The 27913-nt window shown below is 40.1% G+C and overlaps 1 protein-coding gene across 43 annotated transcripts in view; it reads right to left on the bottom strand.

Annotated features, from left to right (window-relative positions):
- The window catches only part of BTD (biotinidase), a 121156-nt gene that overhangs the window by 91616 nt on the left and 1627 nt on the right, over positions 1-27913 (bottom strand). For 9 of the 43 annotated variants that reach the window (NM_001281724.3, NM_001407373.1, NM_001407370.1 and 6 more), the window contains one exon: positions 781-899. The exons of 24 other annotated variants lie outside the window; for them this stretch is intronic. The gene's annotated coding sequence lies outside the window, so the exon portion shown is untranslated. Of the gene's footprint in view, positions 1-780; positions 900-7002; positions 7117-22970; positions 24461-27913 lie in introns of those variants that run through there. 10 more of the 43 variants (NM_001407369.1, NM_001407378.1, NM_001407368.1 and 7 more) reach the window with 5 other exon arrangements.

The following is a 27913-nucleotide window of genomic DNA, read 5'->3' as shown; positions in this document are numbered from 1 at the left end:
CAAGAAGCTCCACAATGGTTCTCGCGTGGGCAGCTTTGTTTAAACCCACCCACTACCAAGACGTTTGATGTCTCATTCGGAAAGTTCAAGGGTAAACACTTGTGAGTGACAGCTGATGATTTAAGCCTGAACTCACCAGCAACTGTGAATAAGTTATCAAGCTAATATGTCCTCTGAGTTGAGGTGGTAAATTGTAATTTCACTTTCAAAAAAAATTCCAGCTATTATTTTAAAAAAAGAGAATGATATACAGAAGTGTAACTGTGCACTGTGCCTTTGATTAGCCAGTTTCTGCTCCATTGGCTAGAATAATTTATCCTAGGAAACCAAATGTGCAATCAAAGGATCTTGACATTTCAACTGAAACACGTTATATCTTTCTTTTCCTCAAATGAGAAACTGCCTTCACAGTTTAAGTCAAATAAAACTTCTTCCTGAAATGCCCAGGTATTTAATGTAAGAAGGCTTTTTTGCACATGGAATTTGAATAACAGTCTGTCTTTCACTTTCTATAGACAGAAGGAACCCCGGCTGAGACTGATTCTCAGACAGTTGCTACTGCCACTCCGTGGACAAACTGAGTATCATTAACCCAAGTGGCTACGCATGTGACCTTAGGTATCGCAATAGCAGAGCCATTCTTAAGCAGTAAATGGATGGCTTTTCCCCCCTTTCCTTCTCCATTTCTAATACTTCATCTATCTCTTTTACAGTTAAACAAGACCCAGAAAGCATCTGACTTTCAAGATTTGAGTTTCATGAAAGCTGTTTTTTACTCACCACACTCCCACGATGGCATCTTTTTGAATTTGTTGCAATTTCATACAATATGACTGGATGTAAAAAGTGACGCTGCCCATTCCCCCTGTGACACACAGCGTCTGCGTGGGGAAATCTGTCTGAATTAAGGGATCTACAATCAATGCCACATTGCATTTTACATGCAATATAAACCGTTTGAATATCCATTATTATTATTTTTTTATCTTCCTGCCACACAAAGCAGAGAAAGCAGATGGTAAAAATTCCATCTTCATGGTGAGGGAAAACTCCAGGACTGGTTAGTAATGATAATGAGACTGGGAGCCAGGTCTCCTGGCTTCTGGTCCAGCCTGCCTAGTGCATGTTGAAGAACCAGGGCAATTTAGTGGTCAAGCTTTAATGACCACTGCGGAGGTGAAACCCTGTCTGTACTAAAAATACAAAAAGTTTGCCGGGCATGGTGGCACGTGTCTGTAATCCCAGCTACTCCGGGAGGCTGAGGCAGGAGAATCGCTTGAACTCGGGCGGCGGAGGTTGCAGTGAGCCCAAATCGCACCATTGCACTCCAGCCTGGGTGACAGAGTGAGATTCCATCTCAAAACAAAACAAAACAACCACCGTGGAGTCTTCAATACGCTGCAGGGGAAATAAGCAGAAATTTCAAGGTAGCTCTCCCAAGGGAGATTCTGGGTGATCAGACCAGAGCAGAGGGTCTCAAATGTAAGCACGCCATCAGAGTCACCTGAAGGCTTGAACACACAGATCTCTGGAGCCCATGCCTGGAAGTTTTGATTGAGTAGGTATGGAATAGGGTCTGAGAATCTGCATTTTATGGCAAATTCCAAGGTGATGCTGATGCTCCTGGTCTGAGTCACACTTGGAGAACCAATTGAGTAGAAGATAGAGGAATGTATATCCTATATTCTGACTCCTATTGTTCCCTTATGTCAAAGAAAGTTATGAGTCAGAAACATCATCTTCATTTCTCAGGTGCCTCTCCAATAGGGCTGATGGAATCTGGGCAGATTTCAAAGTATTTCTACCATATTTAATGAAAATAAGCAGCAAAGAAAGCATTAAACACTCAAACTAGAAGGAAAAATCTCCCCTAAACAATTTGATGCAGGTCAGTTAAAGGACTCAGTGCTTGTCTTAGCTATGGCAGGAATACCATTGAAGAACCAGGTTGTTATTGGTTTTTACTTAAATAAAATTCCTGATTTAAAAAAAGGTGGGGGGCAATATGGTAGACTAGATAATCTGAAAAATGTTTCAACCATATCCTGCAAAAATGAAACAGATTATTTTTAAATGCATATTTGAGTTTGCAGGAAAGTTAAAGGAAATCTTCGGTGGTCGAAAATGAACTGTGAAAAAGTCTTAAACTATTGATTGGAGACCTTGACCAGGCAGCAAGGAAAATACACACACATAAAGCTTTTCCACTGTCAGTCAGTCCTGGGACACATGAATGGTGGGGGCACTTCTAGCTACTCTGTTCTTCTGGAATGCTTATGGCTTCCAAAAACCATCGTCAAATTCTCTGAAATGAGTTTCAATGAGTGTCAGCAAGGTATTGCTTTTAAAAGCCTTTGGGAAATTTCTTACCCATTTCCTTCTTGGACTACCTTAAAGAACACCTTCTAGATAATGTGGACCTGAGGGCTTGACATCCAGAAGAAAAAGAACCAGTGCATGGAAAATGTGATGTCCTAGAACTACGTGTCAAAATTTTCAGGGAAGATGTGCTCAGAAATGTGGGCCATGTAATGGCTTTGTGATTATTAAATGTATGATGGACACAATATTGCTGATTGTATAGTGCACACAACATCTCTAGATGTATGGTGGATGCAACATAACTGTATGATGGATACAACCTCTCTAAGCCTGTGGTGGATACAGAATCTCTAAGCTTGTGGTGGATGTAACCTCTCTAAGCATGTGGTGGATACAATGTCACTACATCAAGTCCCATTACCCTTGTGCTCATCTCTGCCAGTACTCAGGAGTGAAAAATGCAGATGGAGATGCTCAGGATGCAAAGAGTGGAGAACAATGTGGTGGGTAATAGGGCCAAGGAACCCTGTTCCCCAAATCAAAAGAATAACCCTTGGGGCTGGGCATGGTGGCTCATGCCTGTAATCCCAGCACTTTGGGAGGCCAAGGTGGGTAGATCACCTGAGGTCAGGAGTTCAAGACCAGCCTAGCCAACATGGTGAAACCCCAACTCTACTAAAAGCACAAAAAATTAGCCAGGCGTGGTGGCAGGCACTGTAATCCCAGCTACTTGGGAGGCTGAAGCAAGAGAATAGCTTGAACCTCGGAGGCAGAGATTGCAGTGAGCCGAGATCGTGCCATTGCACTCCAGCCTGGGCAATAAGAGCGAAACTCCATCTCAAAAAACAAAACAAAACAAAACAAAAGAATAACCCTTAATAGGATAGGCTAGAAACACTGACGCTGGATGATAGTAGAAATTATGAAAGAAACAATTTAAAAAGCTAAAGTAAACCACAGTGCTGGAAATAACACATCAAAGGCCACCTTCTCTCATGCAGAGGCCAAGAGGCATATATTTAGGAGTGGCATAGTCAAAATTACCAAGAGAGGCCAGGCACAGTAACTAATGCCTGTAATCCCAACACTTTGGGAGGGTGAGGCAGGAGGATTGCTTGAGCCCAGGAGGTTGAAACTAGCCTGGGCAACATGGAGAAACACTGTCTCTACCAAAAAAAAATTTTTTTAATTAGCTGGGCATGGTGGCATGCACTTGTAGTCCTAGCTACTCGGAAGGATGAGATGGGAGCATCACTTGAGCCTGGGAGGCAGGGGTTGCGGTGAGCTGTGATTGCAGGACCCTGTCTTAAGAGGAACAGCAAAAAGCAGGCAAATGGGTCCTGGTGCCGTAGCTTCTGAGAACCTGTGGAGGTGCTCTTGATCCATGCGTGGTGGGAAGCACGGTGAGCCGGCATGCCGTGGCTGCTCAGGGGTGTTCGGTTGGAGGGCAGAGCTCAATCAAGAATGATGGTAACCTTTCCAGATCTGTTCACCAACTTGGCTGTCTTCTTCACCCATGGCATGGCAGATGTGTAGAGAAATGATTAGTATCTCTATCTTTGCCTTTCTTCCTGGAGGCATTGGACATTTTGGTTTTCTTCTGCTTTGGTCAAATGAGTAACTATTTGCATGCCTTTTTTCCTCTGACAGACGGTTCCAAGTCAGCCATAGCTGCATTCTGGTTCTAACACAAGTGCCATTGCCTTGTGCCATCTAGAGTCTCAGTAGGACAGACATATGACTAGCTCCCCTATGTCCTATAGCTTCTTTTTCTTTTCTTTTCTTTTTTTTTTTTTTTGAGACAGGGTCTTGCTCTGTTGCCCAGGCTGGAGTACAGTGGCATGATCATACATAGCTCACAGCAGCCTCAAACTCCTAGGCTCAAGTGATCCCTCCCCAACAGCCTCTCAAGTAGCTGGGACTACAGGTGCATGCTACCATGTGTGACTAATTTTTTAATTTTTTGTAGAGATGGGGTCTTGCTATGTGACTCAGGCTAGTCTCGACTCCAGGCCTGAAGCAATCCTCTCACCTAAAGTGCTGGGATTACAGCTGTGAGCCACCATGCCTGGCCTCTGTCCTACAGCTTTACCTGGCATGAGTGTCTGAGTCCTCCAGAGGTGGGGCTCCCTGAGGGTGCTGGGAGTACAGGATTGGGTAATGGAGGTTTCAGCGTCTTCCATGATAGTTGTAGGTGCAACATTCCTCAGCATTAGAGGCAAAGCAGAGGATCATCTAGCTCCTTTTGTGAAGAAGTTACTCTTAAAGTAGAAGGAGACTGCTACCCATAGCCAGGATTTCACCCAAATCTATTCTGACCAAAAGCCCACATGCTTTTTAATGCAACCACACTCAAAATAGTGGTGGTGGTGGGGGAGGTTGATTGAATATGATACTGGGATGGATGAATAACAACAGGAATAATAGCATCTTAGGCCATACACAAAAATAAACTCAAAATCAGAAGTTGAATATCAAATGTTAGAAAAGCTAGCATAAATTAGAATTAGGTATCAGATACTTGAAACAACTTTCTAAAATTTGGAACAGTTGAAATAAAAGAAGAAACAGATTGACAAATTAAAATGTACATGCAAAAAATAAACATCAAGACAACACTTATAAACAGGCAATGAACAAGAACAGATTTTAACAAGAAAATAAATCATAAACAAACACTTTGGAAGGCTTTGAACTTATATGCAAAATAAAAAATTAAAACTGGGCCAGGCGTGGTGGCTCACGCCTGTAATCCCAGCACTTTGGGAGGCCGAGGCAGGCAGATCACGAGGTCAAGAGATCGAGACCATCCTGGCTAACACGGTGAAACCCCATCTCTACTAAAAATACAAAAAATTAGCTGGGCGAGGGGGCGGGTGCCTGTAGTCCCAGCTACTTGGGAGGCCGAGACAGGAGAATTGCTTGAACCCGGGAGGTGGAGATTGCAGTGAGCCGAGATCGCACCACTGCACTCCAGCCTGGCATGAGAGTGAGACTCCGTCTCAAAACAAACAGAAAAAACAAAACAAAACAAACAAACAAACAAAAAACAACTCCAGAGGGACCCAGTCTTAGATGGAGGCACCCGCACTTTTGTAGGTTTTACCTCTAGGAGTTCTACCAGGTTCTCACAATGAAGACTGGAGAAAAAAATCCTCCCATGCTTCTGCCAGAGGAAGAGGGAAAGGAAACAAAGCATTCTGGTCTTTAGCAGGCCTCTCCTCCAGAGAAACTATTTTTACCTATTGGGGTTTTATCAAAGCTTAACTGACCTGGGGGAAGGGAAATACCCAACTCTAGCCCCATTCTGTCCCGCCTGAGTGGGGTTGGGGGCTGAGAAGCACTTGTAAAGTTCACAGTCCATAAACACAGGCTCCCTAAAGATCCCTAAAGACAATAGAACACATTCCCTCCCACCACATTTCAATTAAATGCCTTTTTACTGCTGTTCCTTTACTTAGTACATCGAGTCCAACTTCCAACAAAAAATTACAAGGTATACTAAAAGGTAAAAAATTGAGTTTGAAAACAGAGCAGGCATCAGAACCAGAGTTAGGCCAGGTGCGGTGGCTCATGGCTGTAATCCCAGCACTTAGGGAGGCTAAGGAGCTTAAGGCCAGGAGTTCAAGACCAGCCTGGCCAACATGGCAAAACCCTGTCTTTACTAAAAATACAAAAATTGGCCAGGCTTGGTGGCACACGCCTATAGTCCCAGCTACTTGGGAGGCTGAGGCACGAGAAATGCTGGAACCCAGGAGGCGGAGGTTGCAGTGAGCTGTTATCACACCACTGCACTCCAGCAGTGACAGAGGGAGGTGACAGAGGGAGACTTTGTCTCAAAAAACCTCCCAGAAGAACCAGAGTCAGATATGGCAGGGATGTTGTAATTATCAGACTAGCAATTTAAAATAAATATGATGAATATGCCACAGGCTCTACTGAAAAAAAAAACAACAGCCAACATGCAAGAACAGATGGGTAATCTAAGCAGGGAGATGGAAATTCTAAGAAAGAATAAAAAAAGAAATGCCTGAGATTAAAAAACACTAACAGAAATGAAGAATCACTTTAATGGATTCATTAGTAGATTGGACATGGCTGAGGAAGGAATCCCTGAGCTTGAGAATATGACAATAGAAATGCCCAAAACTGAAAAGCAAAGAGAAAAAAGACTGAAAAAAAGAAAAAAATCAACAAACAGTGGACTACAAAAGTTATAAATATGTACAATGGGAATACCAGAAGGAGAAAGAATAGAAGCAATATCTGAGGCAATAATGACTGAGAATTTCCCCAGATTAATATCAGACACTAAACCACAGACCCAGGAAGCTCAGAGAACACCAATCAGGTTAACTGCCAAAAACGAAAATAAAAAATAAAAAAATCTACATGTAGGCAAATCATATTCAAATTACAGAAAAGCAAAGATAAAGAAAAAATCCTGAAAGAAGCCAGAGGGAAAAAACATCTTATCTATAGAGGAGCAAAGATAAGAAAGATATCTGACTTCTCAGAAATCATGTAAACAATAAGACAGTGATGTGAAATATTTAAAGTGTTGAGAGGAAAAAAGTACCAGCCTAGCATTGTGCGTCTGTATTAGTCCATTCTCACACTGCTATAAAGAACTACCTGAAGCTGGGTAATTTATGAAGAAAAGGGGTTTAACTGACTCACAGTTCCACAGGCTGTACAAGAAGCATGGCTGGGAAGCCTCAGGAAACTTAGAATCACGGCAGAAGGGCAAAGGGGAAGCAAGCACATCTTCACATGGTGGCAGAAGATGGAGAGAGCTAAGTGGGAAGTGCTACACGCTTTTAAACAACCAGATCTCATGAGAACTCTATCATGACACAACACTAGAGGGATGGTGCTAAACTGTTAGAAACCATCCACATGATCCAATCACCTCCCACCAGGCCACACAACTCAACATGAGATTTGGGTGGGAACACAGAGCCAAACCATATAAACATCCTACAAAATTAACCTTCAAAAGCAGAGAAATAAGATACTTTCAGACAAAATCATGTGACAAAATCACATAAAATGTTCAATTAAAACACCAAAACTCAGAAAAAGACTGGAAGACAAAAACAGGAACTACGAACAAAGGCAGCAAGTAGAAAAAAGTAACAAATATGATAGATAATAATCCAACTATATCAATAATCACTTTAAAAGTCAATGGTATAAATATATCAATTCGAAACAAGAGATCATTACAGTAGATAAAAAACATGACTCAACTATATGTTGTCTACAAGAAACCCACTTTATAAAGACACATGTAGATTGTGTAGTAAATGGATGGACATACCATCCTAATAGTAACTGATATGGTTTGGCTGTGTCTCCACCCAAATTTCACCTTGAATTGTAGTAATCCCCATGTATCAAAGGTGGAGCCAGGTGGAGATAATTGAATCATGGGAGTGGTTTCCCACATACTGTTCTCATGGTAGTGAATAAGTCTCATGAAATCTGATGGTTTTATAAATGGAAGCTCCTCTGCACAAACTCTTGTCTGCTACCATGTAAGACATGCCTTTGCTCCTCATTTGCCTTCTGCCATGATTGTGAAGCCTCCCCAGCCATGTGGAACTGTGAGTCCATTAAACCTCTTTCCTTTATAAATTACCCAGTCTCAGGTATGTCTTTATTAACAGCATGAAAACAGACTAACATAGTCATTAAGAGAAAGCAAGAATAGCTACATAAATTTCAGACAGAGCTGACTTTAGACCAAGGAAAGTTATCAGGATTAAAAAGTGGGTCACAAAATGATAAAGGGGTTAATTCAACAAGAAATAAAAATCCTTAATGTGCATTGTGCCAACAATGGAACATCAAAATACATGAGGCAAAAATGGACAGAACTGCAAAGAGAAACAGATGTATCCACTATTATAACTGTAAACTTCAACACCCCTCTATCAGTAATGGATAAAATCCAGAATGCAGAAAATCAGTAAGGACATAGTTGAATTCAGTAGCACCATCAATCAACTGTATACAAGGGACATCTATAGACTACTTCATCTAATAACAGCAAAGTACAGACTCTTCTCAAGCTCACATGGAACATTTACCATGACAAAACACACTGTGAGCCATAAAACACAACTTAACAGATTTAAAAGAGTAGAAATAATACAATATCTGCTCTCAGACCACAGTAGAATTAAACTAAAAATCAATAACATAAATTTAGCAAGAAATACCCAAAATACTTGGAAATAAAACTGCACAGTTTTAAATAACAAATGGGTCAGAAAAGAAATCTCAAGAGAAATGTACAAAAGAATTAAGATATAAGATCAGTAGTCTAAAGTTTTACTTCAAGAAACTAGAAAAAGAAGAGCAACTTAATTCCAAAGTAAGAAGAATGACAGAAATAATAAACACTAGAATAGAAATCAATGAAATGTAAAGCAGGAGATCAATAGAGAAAAATGAAACTAAATTCTGGTTCTTTGAAAAGATCAAGAAAAATCAATAAGCCTCTAGCCAGGCTAAGAAAAAAAAATAGAGAAGACACATATTACTGACATGAGCAATGAAAGAGGGCACATAACTACAGATCCCATGGACACCGAAAGAATAATAAAGGAATATTATAAACAACTTTATGCCCCAAAATTTGATAACCTAGATGTCAATTTAAGAAACTGATGTCCGGGCACAGTGACTCACGCCTGTAATCCCAGCACTTTGGGAGGCTGAGACAGGTGGATCACCTGAGGTCAGGAGTTTGAGACCAGCCTGGCCAACATGGTGAAACCCCATCTCTACTAAAAATACAAAAATTAGCCAGGCGTGGTGGTGGGCACCTGTAATTCCAGCTACTCAGGAGGCTGAGGCAGGAGAATTGCTTGAACCAGGGAGGCAGAGGTTGCAGTGAGCCAAGATCGCACCATTGCACTCCAGCCTGGGCAACAAGAGCGAAACTCCATCTCAAAGGAAAAAAAAAAGAAAATGATAACCAATTTCTTAAAAGACAGAATTTACTAAAACTCACACAAGAAAAACAGACAATCTGAAGAGGCCTATATGTATTAGAGAAATTGAATCAATAATTCAAAATATTTTAAAACAGAGATCACCCAGTCCAGGTGGGTTCATTGGTGAATTCTACCAAACATTCAGAAATAAATTATACCAATTCTCTACTATGTCTTCCAGAAGACAGAAACAGAGGGAATACTTCTTAACTCATTCCATGAGGGCAGCATTACCCCAATACTGAAACAGACAAAGACATTACAAGAAAAGAAAACTACTGTGAGGATTAATTTTAGGTGTCAACTTGAATGGATTAAGGAACACTGTAGAAACCTGGTAAAATGTTACTTTTGGATGTGCTTGTGATCAGCATGAGGAGATGAGTGTGTGAGTCTAAGTGCACTAGGTAAAGATGAGCCACCCTCACAATGTGGGCAGGCACCATCTAATAAGCCAAGAGACAAGAGAGAACGAAAACAGAAAAAGCAAGTGTGTTGATTTATCTGCAGGAGCTGGGATATACCCTTCCTCTCCTGCCCTTGCGTGTTAGAACTCCCTGGCCTGTGGACTCCAGGACTTGCACCAGCAGCCCCCTGGGTTCTCAGGCCTTCGGCCTTGGACTGAGTTATGCCATTGACATTCCAGGGTCTCCAGCTTGCAGATGGCCTGTTATTGGACTTTTCAGCCTCCATAATTGTGTGAGCCAATTCCTCTAATAAATCTCTTTCGTATATCTCTCTATATATATCCCATTGGCACTGTCTCCCTGTTATGGGAAGTCAGGGACCCTGAATGGAGGGACCAGCTGGAGCTGCGGCAGAGGAACATAAATTGTGAAGATTTCATCTTAATATGGACATTTATCAGTTCTCAAATAACACTTTTATAATTTCTTATGCCTGTCTTTAATCTCTTAATCCTGTTATCTTCGTAGGCTGAAGATGTATGTCACCTCAGGACCACTGTGATAATTGTGCTAACTGTACAAATTGATTGTAAAACATGTGTAGTTGAAAAATATGAAATCAGTGCACCTTGAAAAAGAACAGAATAATAGCGATTTTTATGGAACAAGGGAAGACAACCATAAGGTCTGACTGCCTGTGGGGTTGGGCTAAAAGAGCCACATTTTTCTTCTTGCAGAGAGCCTATAAATGGATGTGCAAGTAGGAAACATATCGCTAAATTCTTTTCCTAGCAAGGAATATTAATATTAATACCCTGGGAAAGGAATGCGCTCCTGGGGGGAGGTCTATAAACGGCCGTTCTGGGAATGTCTGTCTTGTGCAGTTGAGGTAAGGATTGAGATAAGTCCTAGTCTCCTGCAGAACCCTCAGGCTTGCTAGGGTTGGGAAAACTCAGCCCTGGTAAATCCGTGGTCAGACTGGTTCTCTGCTCTTGAACCCTGTTTTCTGTTGTTTAAGATGTTTATCAAGACAATATGTGCACCGCTGAACATAGACCATTATCAGTGGTTCTGCTTTTGCCCTTTGCCCTGTGATCTTTGTTGGACCCTTATCAGTGGTTCTGCTTTTGCCCTTTGCCCTGTTCCCTCAGAAGCATGTGATCTTTGTTAGACCCTTATCAGTGGTTCTGCTTTTTGCCCTTTGAAGCATGTGATCTTTGTATCTACTCTCTGTTCTTACACTCCCTCCCCTTTTGAAACCCTTAATAAAAACTTGCTGGTCTGAGACTCAGGCAGGCATCATGGTCCTGCTGATATGTGATGTCACCCCTGGCGGCCCAGCTGTAAAATTCCTCTCTTTGTACTGTCTCTCTTTATTTCTCAGCCAGCTGACACTTATGGAAAATAGAACTTACGTTGAAATATTGGGGGTGGGTTCTCCCAGTATCTCCCTAGAGAATTCAGACTAATACAACTACAGAGCAATATCTCTCATAAATATAGATGCAATAATCCTTAGCAAAATCCTTAGGTTGGTGCAAAAGTCATTTGCCATTACTTTCAATGGCAAAAACCACAATGACTTTTACACCAACAAATATTAGCAAATTGAATCTAACAATCCATAGAAGAAATTATACACCATGACTAAGTGAGATTTATCTCAGGTATGAAAGGTTGGTTCAATATTTGAAAATCAATTTATGTAATCTATCACATTAACAGGCTAAATAAGAAAGATCACATGGCCTAGGAGGTGGAGGCTGCAGTGAGCTGTGTTTGTACCACTGCACTCCAGCTGGTGTGACAGAGTGATACCCTGTCTCAAAAAAAGAAAAGAAAAATCACATGATTATATCAATAGACACAGAAAAATAGATGTCAAATAGATGTATTTGACGAAGTACAATACCCATTTGGAATGATAATAACTCTCAGTAAACTACGAATAGAGGGGAACTTGCTCAACTTGATTTAAAAAACCACCTACAGCTAACATCACAGTTAGTGGTGAGAAACTAGAGACTTTATACAAAGATCGGGAGCAAGGTAATGATGTCCCTTCTCACCACTGCTTTTCAACATCATACCGTAAGTCCTAGCTAATGCAAAAAGCAAAGAAAAGATACACAAACTGGGAAAGAAGAAATAAAACCGCCTTTGTTCACAGATGAAATTGTCATCGATGTAGAAAATTGGAATGAATTAATAAAAAATATCTGGAACTAATAAGTTATTATACCAATGTTGTAGGATACAAGGTTCATATGCAAACATCAATTTATTTCTCATATATCAGCAAAAAACAGTGGACTTTTAAATTTAAAACATAATACTATTGGCTGGGCACAGTGGCTCACGCCTGTAATCCCAGCACTTTGGGAGGCTGAGGCAGGTGGATCACGAGGTCAGGAGATTGAGACCATCCTGGCTAACATGGTGAAACCCCATCTCTATGAAAAATACAAAACATTAGCCAGGTGTGGTGGCAGGCGTCTGTAGTCCCAGCTACTCGGGAGGCTGAGGCAGGAGAATGGCGTGAACCCGGGAGGTGGAGCTTGCAGTGAGCCGAGATCGCACCACTGCACTCTAGCCTGGGTGACAGAGTGAGACTCAAAAAAATAAAAAAGAAAAAAATTTTAAAAACCATAATACTATTTATATTCGTACCCTACATATGAAATATTTAGGTATAAATCTTTTAAAAATGTTTAAGGTCTGCATGAAAAAACTACAAAACTCTGTTGAAAGAAATCAAAGCAGCACTAAATAAATGCAGAGACTCAATATCGTTAAGATGTCAGTTCTTGCGAACAACTTGATCTATAGATTCAACACAATCCCAACTGAAATCCCAACAAGTTATTTTGTAGGTATCAACAAACTGATTCTAAACTGCATATGGAGCAGTGGCTTATGCCTGTAAGCTCAGCACTTTAAGAGGCCAAGGCAGGAGGATCATTTGAGGCCAGGAGTTTGAGACCACCAGCCTGGGCAAAATAGAGAGACCCCATTCTCTACAAAATTAAAAATAAAATTAAGTTAGCTGGGCAAGGCGGTGTGTGCCTATAGTCCTGGCTATTCAGCAGATGGAAGTGGGAAGATCACTTGATCCCAGGAGTTCAAGGTTATAGTGAGCTATGATCACGCCACTGCATTCCAGCCTGGATGACAGAGCGAGACCTGTCTCTAGATAAATACATAAAAATAAATTGTACATGGAGAGGTAAAAGACCAAGAATGGCCAATACAATATTGAAGAAGAATGAAGTCAGAAAACTCACACTACCAACTTCAAGACATTATAAAACTGTAGTAATCAAGACAACATGATATTTTATCAATTGGCCAAAGAACAGACAAATAGATGGAACAGAATAGAGAATCCAGAAATAGACCCACATAAATACAGTCAACTGGTCTTATTTATTTATTTATTTTACAAATGAGGTCTCGCTATGTTGCCTAGGCTGGACTCAAATTCCTAGGCTCAAGCAATTCTTCTACCTCAGCCTCCTAAAGAAAACTATTGAACTCTACTGAGCAGCTGGGACTACAAGTGTGTACCACTGCACACCAGGCTATAGTTAACTCATCTTTGACAAAGGAGCAAAGGCAATGTGATGGAGCAAAGACAGTCTTTTCAACAAATGGTGCTGGAACAAATGGACACCCACATGTAAAAAACAAATCTAGATAAAGATCTTATACCCTTCACAAGAAGTAACTCAAAACAGATCATAGATCTAAATATAAAGTACAAAACTATAAAACTCTTAAAAGATAACATAGGAGAATAGCTAGATGATCTTGTGTTGGACAAAAAAGAAAGAATTGATACACTGCACTTCACTAAATGTAAAACTTTTGATCTGCAAATGAAACTATCAAGAACAGAAGAAGATAAGCTACAGACTGAGAGAAAATATTTGCAAAAGATTTATCAGATAAAGGAATGTTATCCAAAATATCAAAGAACTGTTAAAACTCAACAATAAGAAAGTAAACAACTTGATTAAAAAATAGGCAAAAGGCCGGGCATGGTGGCTCATGCCTATAATCCCAGCACTTTGGGAGGCCAAGGCAGGCAGATCACGAGGTCAAGAGGTTAAGACCATCCTAGCCAACATAGTGAAACCCCCGTCTCTACTAAAAATACAAAAAATTAGCTGGGTGTGGTGGCTCGTGCCTGTAGTCCCAGCTACTCGGGAGGCTGAGGCAGGAGAATTGCTTTAACCCAGGAGGCGGAGGTTGCAGTGAGCCGAGATTGCACCACTGCACTCCAGCCTGGGTGACAGAGTGAGACTCGAAAAAAAAATACATAAATAAAATAAAATAAGCAAAAGATCTGAACAGACATCTCACCAAGGAAGATACACAAATAGCAATAAACTTATGAAAAGATGTTCAGCATCATATGTCACAAGGGAATTGCAAATTAAAAATTAGATACCACTATGCACCTATTAGAATAGTCAAAATCCAAAACACTGACAAGACTAAATGCTTAGTTTGGTGAAAGGAAAAAAACAAAACTTTTTTTTTTTGAAGATGAAGTCTCGCTCTTGTCCCCTATGCTGGAGTACAATGGTGCGATCTTGGCTCACTGCAACCTCCACCTCCCAGGTTCAAGAAATTCTCCTGCCTCAGCCACCCGAGTAGCTGGGATTACAGGCGCCTGCCACCACGACCGGCTAATTTTTGTATTTTTAGTAGAGACAGGGTTTCTCTATTTTGGTCAGGCTTGTCTCAAACTCCTGACCTCAGGTGATCCACCCACCTCGGCCTCCCAAAATTGCCGGGATTACAGGTGTGAGCCACCGCGCCCGGCCCAAAACAATTTTTAAAAAGACCAAATGCTGTTGAGAATATAGAGCAACAGGAAGTCTGATTCATTGCTGATGGGAACACAAAATGATCCAACCACTTTGGAAGACAGCTTGGCATTTTCTTACAAAATGAAGCATACTCTTATCATATGATTCAGCAATCGTATTCTTTGTATTTACCCAAAGGAGTAGAAAACTTATGTCTCCAAAAAAACTGCACAGGAGTGTTTATAGCAGTTTTTTTCATAGTTACCAAAACTTGGAAGCAATCAAGATATTCTTCAGTAGGTGAATGGATTAATAAAGTGTGATACATTCAGACAATGGAATATTATTCAGTGCTAAAAAGAAATGAGCTATCAAGCCATGAAAAGATATGGAGGAACCTTAGATGTATATTACTAAAGGAAAGAAACCAATCTGTAAAGGCTACATACTGTATGATTCCAATATGTAACATTTCCAGTGGTGGAAAAAGCAAAATTGCAGAGATGGTAAAATGATCAGTGGTTGCCAAGTGTTAAGGGAGAAAGAAGTGAATCCTAATGTAAACTATGGACTTCATGTTATAATAATGTGTCAATGCAGGTTCACTGATTATAACAAACATACCATTCTAGTCTGGGATATTGATAACAGGGAAGGCTATGCATGTATCAGGACAGGGAGTATATGTAAACTTTCTGTACTTTCTGCTCAATTTTATTGTGAGCATAAAACTTCTCTTTTAAAAAAAGCATTTAAAAAATAAAAACTAAAATCAAGTAACTGAAAACTGGAGTGGTGAGGTGATACTGGAACATGTCCCAATCTTGATATCCAAGGGGTTTAGATTTTAAAGACCATGAAGGACAGAAAGACAAGATGTGGAGGTTGGAGTGAGATCTGTGCATATAGCTAGGAACCTTAAGGAATGATTCCTTTATTGAAAGGATGGACAAAAACAAATATCTGCCTGCCTGCCAAAGTAACTATCTGACGTAGAAACTTGTACATCTCATCTTGGGCTCTGAGCAGGGGAAAATAGTACTCCTTGAAAGTCATAACCAACATAATCAAAGGTTTTCCTTATGTGGGTTCATGATTCAAAAACTCACAACATACATGACCCAGGTAACTCTATGCCAAGAAATGAGCACAAAGTGATTTTGAGATGTTATCAGTCCTAAGATGCCTGGAAAAGCCTATCCACATACTCTCTTCTTGAAGACTGAGTGTCCTGGGTTGAAGAACAAGGTAAACAAGAGCTCAAAATTCAAAATTACAAAACACACAAGGAAGCAAATATTATGCAAGAAAGTTAAAGAATACAGCAAAATCAGGCCCCCAACAACTTCAGATGGAAGGATTACTAGTGAAAATTTTCAAATAAGTACACTGAAGTTGATTAAAGAAGTACTCAGAGGACTCTAAAACAGGTAAAAGAATAAGATATTGTTGGCTGGGAGTGGTGGCTCATGCCTGTAATCCCAGCACTTTGGAAGGCCAAGGCAGGAAGATAACTTGAGCCCAGGAGTTGGAGGCCAGCATGGGCAACATGGCAAAACCCCATCTCTACAAAAAATACAAAAATTAGCTGTGTGTGGTGGTGCATGCCTGTAGTCCCAGCTACTTGGGTGGCTAAGGTAGGGCGATTGCTTGAGCTCAGAGGCGGAGGTGGCAGTGAGCTAAGATCACACCACTACACTCTAGCCTGGGTAATAGAGAGAGACTCTGTGTCAAAAAAAAAAAAAAAAAGAAAAAGATATTGTCAAATAAAACCAAATGGAGACATTTTGTGGCATGGCCGTTAGAATCATTAAAAAATTTGTTTAGAATGTACCACAGAGATGACAAAAGGGAAAAAAAGAAGATGAGACATGGAAGACATATATGATGTTCCATGATATTTCTAATTGGAATTTCAGAAGGAGAAAATAGAGGCTGGGTGCAATGGCTCATGCCTGTAATCCCAACACTTTGGAGGTCAAGATGAGAGGATCACTTGAGGCCAGGAATTCAAGACCAGCCTGGGCAATATAATCTCTACAAAAAGTAAAAAAGTATTAGCTGGGCATGGTGGTGTACACCTGCGGTCCCAGCATCTCAAGAGGCTGAGGTGGTAGGATTGCTTGAGCCCAGGAGTTTAAGGCTGCAGTGGGCTACGGCTGTGCCACTGTACTCCAGCTTGGGCGACAGAGCAAGACCTTGACTTAAAAAAAAAAAAAAAAGAAAGAAAGAAAGAGGGAGAAAATACATAAAATGACACATGACACATTACACATGTTTGAAGGTATAATAGGTGAGAATTTTAATAATAAAATACAGAAATCCATAGATTCAAGACAACCAAAAAGAAATCTATACACAACATAAAGAAACCAGAACACGAAATATTTGAAGAAGAAAAAAATCTTAGACGCAACCAGAGGGAAGAGAGATTGCCTTCAAAGATATGGTGATTTGAAAACAGCAGACTTTTCAAGAGTAACAATAGAAGTAAGAAAACAAAATCTTAAATGTGCTAAGAAAAAATAACTGTGAACCAGAATGGCCTTGTTCACACATAAACCTCCTACAGTAGAGGAAAAACTCACTCAAAAATGAGTAAATAAAAAGCTCAAGATCTTTTGAAAGATACTATACGAAAACAAAGGTTATACCCCAGAAAATTGCCACAACACAAATAAAAACTGTGACAAAACATTCTGCCACGAGTGAAAAAAAACTGCTTATATTAAATAAAAGCACAAAATAGACCAAGAGAATTAAAAGATGAAAGGGAAAAAGGGGAGAAGGGGAGGAAAGGAGGAGAAGAGGAGAAGGTAAGGAGGGGGAAGAGGGAAGAAGAGAGAAGGGAGAAGGGAGTGGGGAATAGAAAGCTGGGAGACAGATGAAATATTATCTGGCAGGGCTCAGGAAAGAAGCAGAAGAAAAAATTAAAACATCAAGAAATTATGGCAAAGATAGAAGCAGCAAAAGAAATCAGATGATGCTGTAAATAAATAAGCAACATGAATGGAAATACAGAATTGAAAAGGAGTCCACAGAAAATGATAGACAGGGAGAACAGTGAACGAGATCCATCATATGCATAATTGGAAAATGCATAAAAGAAAAAAATAATGTGTGGTGGACACACCCTAAGGTGACTCCTTGTATAATCCTCTTTTCTTGAGTGCAGGTGGAAATTGTACTCTGTTACTAGCCAATAGAATATGACAAAGGTGAAGGGCTTTCACATATGTAGTTAAAATCCCAAGCCAGTTAATCTAGTTAATCAAAAGAGATTACCCTGGTGGGTCTGAATTAATCAGGTCTTTAAAAAAAGAACTGGGGTGCTCCAAGATTTCAGACACACTCTCTCCCCGGCTGACCTTGAAGAAGCAAGCCACCATGAATACTACAACTGCAAGGAAATTCATTCTTTCAACGATCAGTTGAATTTGGAAGAAAACTCAGCCTCAGATGAGACCATGAGGTCAGCTGACAACTTCACTGTAGCCTTGTGAGATGCTGACCAGAGGATCCAGTAAAACTATGCTCAGACTCCTGACACATAGAGACTTTGAGATAATAAATGGGTCTTGTTTTAAGCTGCTGAATAGGTCGTAGGGTAAATTTTTATACAACAATAGACAACATATAATGAAGCAAAAAAAAAAAAAATTAAAGATGTAATTGAAGAAAACTCACCAGAAATAAAAGCATATTTCAATTTATAGCTTGAAAAGAGATAGCAAAACTCAAGAAAGAAAGGAACAGAACATCAACATCGGCAGATAGCCTAGCAAAATTCTTGATCTTCAAAGATAAAGTAAGAATCATTTGGGAAGCTAAATAAAAAGATCAAGGGTATTTATTAGGGGCAAAATAATCAGGCTGTCCTCAGACTTTACTACAATAACATCAATGCCAGTAAAAGCCTATAGAATCCTTCCAGAAAATAAAATATAAGCCAGAAATTATATATTATGCCAACCTATGGTTGAAGTAAAGAAAAAAACCAGATAATAGGTATGAAAATATAAGAACTCAGGGACTATTATTCTCATCAGTCTCATCAGCCTTCTTTGAAAAAATGCATAGAGGGTAATCTTCGGCCAATTAAGAGGTGAATGGAAAAACTGGCAAGAGCCTTGAATGTAAAATAAACATGAGGATTATATTTATAGAACACAGTGCAAATGTTATTAACTCTGGCAATGTAGAAATTGTAAAACTAACAAAAGGTGGTAACAGTGAGGAAAAGAGTAATGGCATGCTCAAGAAAGCAAAAGGAAGGAAATAAAAATAAGAGTGGAAATTAAATTAGAAAACAGAAAAATGACAGAATGAATAAGTATGTCCAAGGAGTTGTTGTTTAGAGAAAAAAAAAGGTAAAGACAAATGATCGGCTAGCCTAATTAAGAAAAAAAAGAGAAACAAATATACAAAACAAAGAGAAATCTATAAATGCAGAAGAATTTTTTTTAAAAAAGAATAATCACCTCATTCAATCCTATATTGATAAGCTAGAAAATTTAGACGAGTAGTTTCCTAGAAAAAAAATACATTATTTGTTTTTTCTTTTTTTTTTTTGAGACTGTCTCACGCCATCACCCAGGTTGGAGTGCAGTGGTGCAATCTCAGCTCATTGCAACCTCTGCCTCCTGGATTCAAGCAATCCTTGTGCCTCAGCCTCCAGAGTAGCTGGGACTGAAAAATATATTTTTACCAAAACTTCGGATAAAAGAAAAAACTAAACCATGCCAACAATCATAGAAGAAATAGTTATCAAACAATCATTCCCTCCCATTCTCCACCCTCAAAACAGGCCCAAATAGTTTCTAGAAGAATTCTTTCTAACTATAAAGGAAAAAATAATCCTAATGCTACTCAATGTGTGTGAGAATATAGTAAAAGAAGGCATTTTTTTCTTATGAAGTGATAAAAATCTGATAATAAAACCTGACAAAGGCAAGAGTCATGTAGGACCCAGGATCCCTCTCTTTCTGGGCCTAACTTCTTGGCATGTAGCTTCCATTTTCAGAGTCATCTTGTGGTTCCAAAATGACTTCTACAACTCCAATTATCATGTTGTACAGAGGAAGAGTACAGAGGGTACTTGCCAGTTTCATCAGCTTTCCTAAAAGCCCTGCCCAGTGACTCCTATTTAAATTGCTTTGGCCCATGTGTGGACGCGTGACCACTCCTAGCTACAAGGAAGGCTGGGCAATGTAAACTGCATTATCACCTTGAATAAAATCAGGATTTTTCCAGGTAAAATACAGGTGGCCCAGTTAAATTTAACTTTCAGATAAATATGTTGGAACATACTTACGCTAAAAAAAATTATGCATTGTTCATCTAAAGTTCAAATTCAACTGGGAGTTTTGGAGTCCTGTTTTTTTTTTTTTTTCTAAATCTGACAACATTACCCATGAGGGATCAAGTAACCATGACCCTGACTTTTATACTCATCACTTCTTTGTTTTTTAAAATAGCTTTATCACCCAATGTGCATCCCTAGACACTGTAGTTTAGTCTTGTCCATTAAAAAATACCCTATCTTTTAAATCTCTTTTAATCTAAAGGTTCCTCTTCCATCCCCTCTAGTTGCTTAAAATTAATATAATAAACAAGATGGCTTCAAAAGAATGAAGTCCAGGGACTACTTGTCCTACCAACATCAAGACTTATTTTAAAAACACAGAAATTAAGATAGTGTGGGATTGGTGTTAGGATAGGAAAAGAACAGAGAGTACAGAAATACTCCCATAAATATGCGAGCTTGACATTCCACAGAGGGGAAATTATGTATCACTGGGATGAGAATGAACTATATTATGAATGGTGCTTGGACAACTGGATGTTATGGTAAATTGACTATAAAAAAGGCCAGCAATTTCTCCCCTCTCTGTATCCATGTTCCATTATCATGTAACTCGAATGCCTTTAACTTAGAGTCTGAGCCCAGCCACATAACTTGCTTTGGCTAATGAGATGTTAGCAAACACCGCACATAGAGGCTTGCACAATGAGGCTCATTCCCTTTTGCAACCTGCTGCCATCCAATGAAGAAGTCCAGCTAGCCTGCTGAGTGGTAGAGCTATGTGGCTCACTGGCAATATGCCCGCTATCCCAGTGGACAACCAGCTAACCTCCAGGGGCTGAGTGACTCAGTTCACTGGCAACTGACTAACAGATACATGGGTGAGCCCAGTTGAGACCAGCCTCATAGGAATATATGTTAAATAAATGGTGGTTCTTTTAAGCCACTAAGTTTTGGGGTGGTTAATTACACAGCAAATCTAATTGACATATTATATGGATTCTTACTTCTCAACAAACAAAAATCAATTCCAGGTAGTGACTTAAATATGAAAAATAAAACTTTACACTTTTTGATATAGAAAAAAATCTTCATAACCTCAGGTTACAAAAAGTTTTCTTTAGCAAGTTACCAAAAAAATAAAAAAATTAAAAAAAAAATAAGGAAGACCAGTTGTCAAATGTGACTATAAAAAAACCCTTTATACCTCTAAAATCACTATTAACAAAGTTAAAAGACAAATAATTAGCATTCAGAATACATAAAGGACATCTACAAATCAAAAAGCAAAAGATAATCCAATAAGGAAATGTGCAACAGATGTAAACACGTAATTCACAGAAAAAGAAACACGCATGGCCAATATATATATACAAATATAACTTAACCTCATTTGTAGTCAGAGAAATGGAACTGAGAAGCCATTTCACATTTAAAAATTTTTAAAGCTCCACAGTTGAGACTATGGAGAAAGGGTAGCTCTCATACACAAATGTTGGGAGTATAAATTGGTACAATACTTTGGAGATCAAATGATGATGACCTCCACCTTGATATATATGTAGAAACTCTCACACATGTGCACAAGAAGGAAACATGCAAGAATTTCAGAGCACACTGTTTCCAAAAAAACTAAAAATGACCAAATATCGATCATCTAAAGAATGGATAATGTGGGAACTACAAACACCAAATTCAAGATAGTGGTTACCTCTGTAGGACAGGAAAGGAGGTGTAATGGGGAAAGGACACACGGGGGTTTCATTATATTTGTGATGTATTTCTTAAGCCAGGGGCTGGGTACATGGGTGTATATTAATCTCTGATCCTATTCATGTGTCTGAAAGATGTCATAAATGTTAAATGTATTTTTTTTGAAGTGAAAAGAATAAATCACAGCTAAGCTCCAAAGAAGAACTCAAACGTTATGATGTAAAAAGAAGTTTAAGGGCTTAAGTTCATCATGAAGATGTCCCCAGTTCAACCCCCAAACCCTGGGAATCACTCAGAGATTCTTCCCTAGAGATAAATCTTTGTTTTGCTGACATGGAGAATAGATTATTATCAAAACAAAGCAATAAAGTACAAATTAAAAAGTTAAAGGAAAGGGCTGTAATGAATGCTAATGGCAGAAGAAGCAAGTGAAAACAGAAAATATTTCAACACTAGTACCATATTACATGGGTGATAGCTGCTTGCCTACCCTGTGGGACACTCCCCCGAGTATGGAATTCCATCATACGGAGAAATACTATGATTTCTTTTTTTTTTTTTTTTTGAGACGGAGTCTCGCTCTGTCGCCAGGCTGGAGTGCAGGGGCGCAATCTCGGCTCACTGCAACCTCCAACTCCTGGGTTCAAGTGGTTCTCCTGCCTCAGCCTCCCCGGTAGCTGGGATTACAGGCGCACATCACCATGCCCAGCTAATTTTTGTATTTTTAGTAGAGACGGGGTTTCACCATGTTGGCCAGGATGGTGTCAATCTACTGACCTCGTGATCCGCCTGCCTTGGCCTCCCAAAGTGTTGGGATTACAGGTGTGAGCCACCGCACTGACCTATATTTTGATTTCTAAGCCATTTGAGATAAATCTCTTACATCCTCATAGCACAACATACAGTTGTCACTATTTCCTGGTGCATTTTACACAAGTAAACGTCCTCGTCAGTGATGTAATGACTGCTGCTGTCAAACTATCTCAAATGTTCTTAAAAAAACACAAAAAACAAAAAAACCCAAAACCCATAATGGATGAACACAAAGCTAAAACAAGGGAACAACATTCCTTCTGTTTTCTTCCCACAGCACTCCCTTCTCCAGTTCCAGGTCTCCCTGGCATTAAAATGTAGAGTAAAGGCACAGGGCTTGCCAGCCCAAGCCAAAGGCAGGAATCCAAGCTTTCTCTAGGTCACAGGGTACCTGGGAAAACTCCCAGTGTCTGTCAGCTGGCATCAGGCACTGGGAGTTTTTATTATCAAGCTTTTTTATTAATGAGTTATTACTGATATCAATCCTCAGCTCAATAATAAAGTTGCTTTTCACTGGGTTTGTTTCAAGCCTGTTGCTGAGCTTTGGTACTCTGAAGTCCACAGATTTAATGAGAAGCAAAGAAAATCAATTTAACCCACTTTATTCAAAGAACCTTTTCATTACATTATTTTACTTCCTATGTTGACATATTTCCTACAACACATTTCCGGCTGTACAGTTTTTGCATTGCTATAAAAAATAGTGTTCTACATAGACTCCTTTTTTTGTTGTTTCCGCCTTTTTATTTTTAAGATATTCAGTATCAGTTTTATCTTATGTCAGGCAATTTCATTTTTAGCTTCTATAATGTATCACAAATGACCTTGATTCATTTCCTCATTTGATAAGTAAACATTTCACATTTTGATAATACATTTGTGAGAATACTTAATCACAAGTTCAGCTAGTGTTATGCTTTAAAATAATCACAAGGATTTTTAGTGTCCTTGTTAGTATACGGAAATTAAAATGCACTATCCCAATTTGGGGGCTTTAAGAGTTACTGCCTGTAGAAGCTGCAGTCTTTAGAGAATAAATTGTCTCCAGGCACTATATTTGCAATTCTTACTAAATTACCTGGTTGCCTGGATATCTCCCTGGCCCAGAGAGAAGAAAACCACCAATTTGCTCTTTTTCATAATCTCAAATCCAGAACCTACAAATAGAGTAATTGGTATGCAGATTCTTTGATGACTAGCTCTGCTCTTTGGAGAGCATGTTATGAGTATTTTAGCCTTTTCTTTTAAAAAGGTTAGATTTATTCATCCTTTGACTTCCTCCCACCAATCAGTAAATAAGCAAAAACAAGTAACATTTCAGTAAAATATCCAACAAATAAAATTTTATACCTATTGCCAATGAAAGTAATAAAGAATGTGGATAGTCCTTACGGAGTATGCACAGAGGGCCTCTGAGAAATTACAAAAGAATCCTGGAATCCTGTCAGGGGTATCCAATCTTTTGGCTTCCCTGGGCCACACTGGAAAAAGAAGAATTGTCTTGGGCCATACATAAAATACACTAACACAAATGATAGCTGATGAGCTAAAAAAAAAAAAAAAAACCAAAAACAACAACAAAAAAAAGGGTCGGTGCATAAATCTCATAATGTTTTAAGAAAGTTTATGAATTTGTGTTGGGCCGCATTCAAAGCCATCCTGGGCCAAGGGTTGGACAAGCTGGCTGTAATTACAATTGGATTGCAAAGGACTTGCTCCTTGGCCCTGTTAATCCAGTGAGCCAGAACTCAAATCATTTCTTTCTGCTGAATCATCAAGCCCAAGTTAACAATTGAACACTGCATCCTGAACTGAAAGGTGCAAAGGTGAAAGCAAGTTTAAACAATCCCAATGATTTTTCTCTTTGTTAAATGGCAGAAAACAACCAGTTGAGTATTTATCCTTTTGCAAAACCAGTTAACTGAATTCCAGTTATTTGTTCCAATTCAGAGTTCAGTTTTCATTGCACTTCATACTGAGTGGTTCTGTCACTGTTTCTTTTGACACAGAAGTAGGCCCAGTGAACTGACTACCATCGATACAGCTTGTTCTGTCAATGTCAAATCAGTCTTGAACCTGTCAATCCAAATTAATCAACAGTATTACTTTGGTGACAGGCAATCATATGTTTAATTAGTAACTCATGCTTCTGGCATGAAAACAGAGCTAGGGTTCTCAACTCTGGGCTGCAAAGCAAAATCAGGTAGCAGCTTTTAAAAAATACAGGTGCCTGACTTGTCCTAAGATGCTGATTCAGGAGATCTGGGGTAGGGCCCAAGTAACTATTTGGAAAAAGCTTTCCAAGTGACTCTAATGCAACAGGGGCAGAGACTGTCACAAAAGGTACTGATATAAATAATACATGATGGAAGGGGAAGTCTGTACTTCTTCAACAAGGACAGGAGGCATTGTGTCAAGGACTACTCAAAGTGCAAAGATGATTTCACATCTTTTTTTTTTTTTTTTTTTTTTTTGAGACAGGGTCTCGCTCTGTCACCCAGGCTAGAGTACAGTGGTGCAATCTTGGTTTACTGCAACATCTACCTCCCTGGCTCACACGATTCTCCCACCTCAGTCTCCCGAATAGCTGGGATTACAGGCATGTGCCACCACACCTGGATAATTTTTGTATTTTAGCAGAGATGGGGTTTCACCACATTGGCCAGGCTGGCCTCGAACTCCTGACCTCAGATGATCTGCCCACCTCGGCCTCCCAAAGTGCTGGGATTACAGGCATGAGCCATTGTGCCCAGCCCGTTTCACATCTTTCTGGAATGTCAATTTTACTTGACAGGTAAGCAGTTTAAAATGTCATTTTTATTTTGGGTGGTGATTTCATAGATATATATATATATAACTGTCAAAACTCATCTAACATTTAAAATCTGGACATTGAATTGTATCTTTATTATATCTCAATAAATGTCATTTTAAAATTAAAATATGGATACATTCTAGAGTATAATACAAAATCTGCATTTTCTTTTTAGATACACTCTGAGACTTGAAAGAAGTCACCCTCTGAGATGGGTCCCTGATATGGTTTGGTTATGTCCCCACTCAAATCTCATCTTGAATTATAGCTCCCATAATCCCTACATATCATGAGCGGTACCTGGTGGGAGGTAACTGAATCATTGGGGAGGGTTTTTCCCATGCTGTTCTTGTGATAGCAAATAAGTCTCAAGCTGTGATGGTTTTATAAATGGGAGTTTCCCTGCACACACTCTCTTGCCTGTCGCCATGTAAGACGTGCCTTTGCTCCTCCTTCATCTTCCACCATGATTGTGACGTCTCTCCAGCCATGTGGAACTGTGAATCTATTAAACCTCTTTTTCTTTATAAATTACCCAGTTTTGAGTATTTCTTCATAGCAGTATGAAAAGGGACTAACACAGAAAATTGGTAATGCAGAGAGTGGGGCACTACTGTAAAGACAGCCGAAACTGTGGAAATAACTTTGGAACTGGGTAACTGGCAGAAGTTGGAACAGTTTGGAGGGCTCAGAAGAAGATAGGAAAATGTGGGAAAGTCTGGAACTTCCTAGAGACTTGGAGGGCTCAGAAGACAGGAAAATGTGGGAAAGTTTGGAACCTCCTAGAGACTTATTGAATGGCTTTGACCAAAATGCTGATAGTGATATGGACAATAAAATTCAGGCTGAAGTGGTTTCTGATGGAGATGAGGAACTTATTCAGAGTTGGAGTAAAGGTCACTCTTGCTATGCAAAGAGACTAGTGGCATTTTGCCCCTGTCCTAGAGATCTGTGGAACTTTGAACTTGAGAGAGATGATTTAGGGTATCTGGCAGAAGAAATTTCTAAATGGCAAAGTGTTCCAGAGGAAGCAGAGCATACAAATTTGAAAAATCTGCAGACTGACGATGCAGTAGAAAATAAAAACCCATTTTCTAGGGAGAAATTCAAGCTGGCAGCAGAAATTTGCATAGGTAATAAGAAGCTAACTATTAATCACCAAGACAATGGGGAAAATGTCTCCAGGGCATGTCAGAGACCTTCACAACAGGCCCTCCCATCACAGGCCCAGAAACCTAGGAGGAAAAATGGTTTCATGGGTCAGGTCCAGGGTCCCCCTGCTGTTTGCAGCCTAGGGACTTGGTGTCCTGCATCCCAGCCATGCCAGCCATGGCTAAAAAGGGCCAATGTACAGCTCAGGCCTGGCTTCAGACAGTGCAAGCCTGAAGCCTTGGCAGCTTCCACATGGTGTTGAGCCTGCAGGTGCACAGAAGTCAAAAATTGAGGTTTGGGAACCTCTGCCTAGATTTCAGAGGATGTATGGAAATGCCTGGATGTCCAGGCAGAAGCTTGTTGCAGGGGTAGAGCCCTCATAGAGAACCTCTGCTAGGGCAGTGTGGAAGGGAAATGTGGGGTGGGAGCCCCCATACAGAGTCCCTCCTGGGGCACTGCTGGTGGAACTGTGAGAAGAGGGCCACCGTCCTCCAGACCCCAGAATGGTAGATCTACTGACCACTTGCACCATGTGCCTAGAAAAGCTGCACACACTCAATATTAGCCTGTGAAAGCAGCTGGGAGAGGGGGTTGTAGCCTGTAAAACCACAAGGGCAGAGCTGCCCAAGGCTGTGGGAGCCCACCTCTTGCATCAGCATGATCTGGCTGTGAGATACGAAGTCAAAATGATCCAAAGATCATTTTGGAGCTTTAATATTTGACTGCCCTGCCAGATTTTGAACTTGCATGGGGGCTTTAGCCCCTTTGTCTTGACCAATTTCTCCCATTTGGAACGGGTATATTTACCTCACTCCCGTGCACCCATTGTATCTAGGAAGTAACTATCTTGCTTTTATTTATTTATTTTTAAATTTAATTTTATTATTTTTTTTGAGACGGAGTCTCGATCTGTCCCCCAGGCTGGAGTGCAGTGGCCCAATCTCAGCTCACTGCAAGCTCTGCCTCCCGGGTTCACACCATTCTCCTGCCTCAGCCTCCTGAGTAGCTGGGATTACAGGCGCCTGCCACCATGCCCGCCTAATTTTTTGTATTTTTAGTAGAGATAGGGTTTCACCGTGTTGACCAGGATGGTCTCCATCTCTTGACCTCATGATCCGCCCGCCTCGGCCTCCCAAAGTGCTGGGATTACAGGTGTGAGCCACTGCGCCCAGCCACTAGCTTGCTTTTGATTTTACAGGCTCATAGGCGGAAGGGACTTGCCTTGTCTCAGATGAAACTCTGGACTGTGGACTTTCGAGTTAATGCTGAAATGAGTTAAGACTTTGGGGGACTGTTGGGAAGGCATGATTGGTTTTGAAATGTGAGGATATGATATTTGGGAGGGGCCAGGGGCAGAACAGTTTGGCTGTGTCCTCATCCAAATCTCATCTTGAATTATAGCTCCCATAATCCCCACATGTGGTGAGAGGGACCCAGTGGGAAGTAACTGAATCATGGGGAGGGGATTTTTCCCATGCTGTTCTAATGATAGTAAGTCTCATGAGATCTGATGGTTTTATAAAGGGCAGTTCCCCTGCACACGCTCTCTTGCCTGCCACCAT

This window comes from Homo sapiens, chromosome 3 (genome assembly GCF_000001405.40).
Source record: "Homo sapiens chromosome 3, GRCh38.p14 Primary Assembly".
NCBI classification, from domain to species: domain Eukaryota; kingdom Metazoa; phylum Chordata; class Mammalia; order Primates; family Hominidae; genus Homo; species Homo sapiens.
The sequence above is the reverse complement of the archived record's forward strand: the minus strand, read 5'-3'. Positions and strand labels throughout refer to the sequence as shown.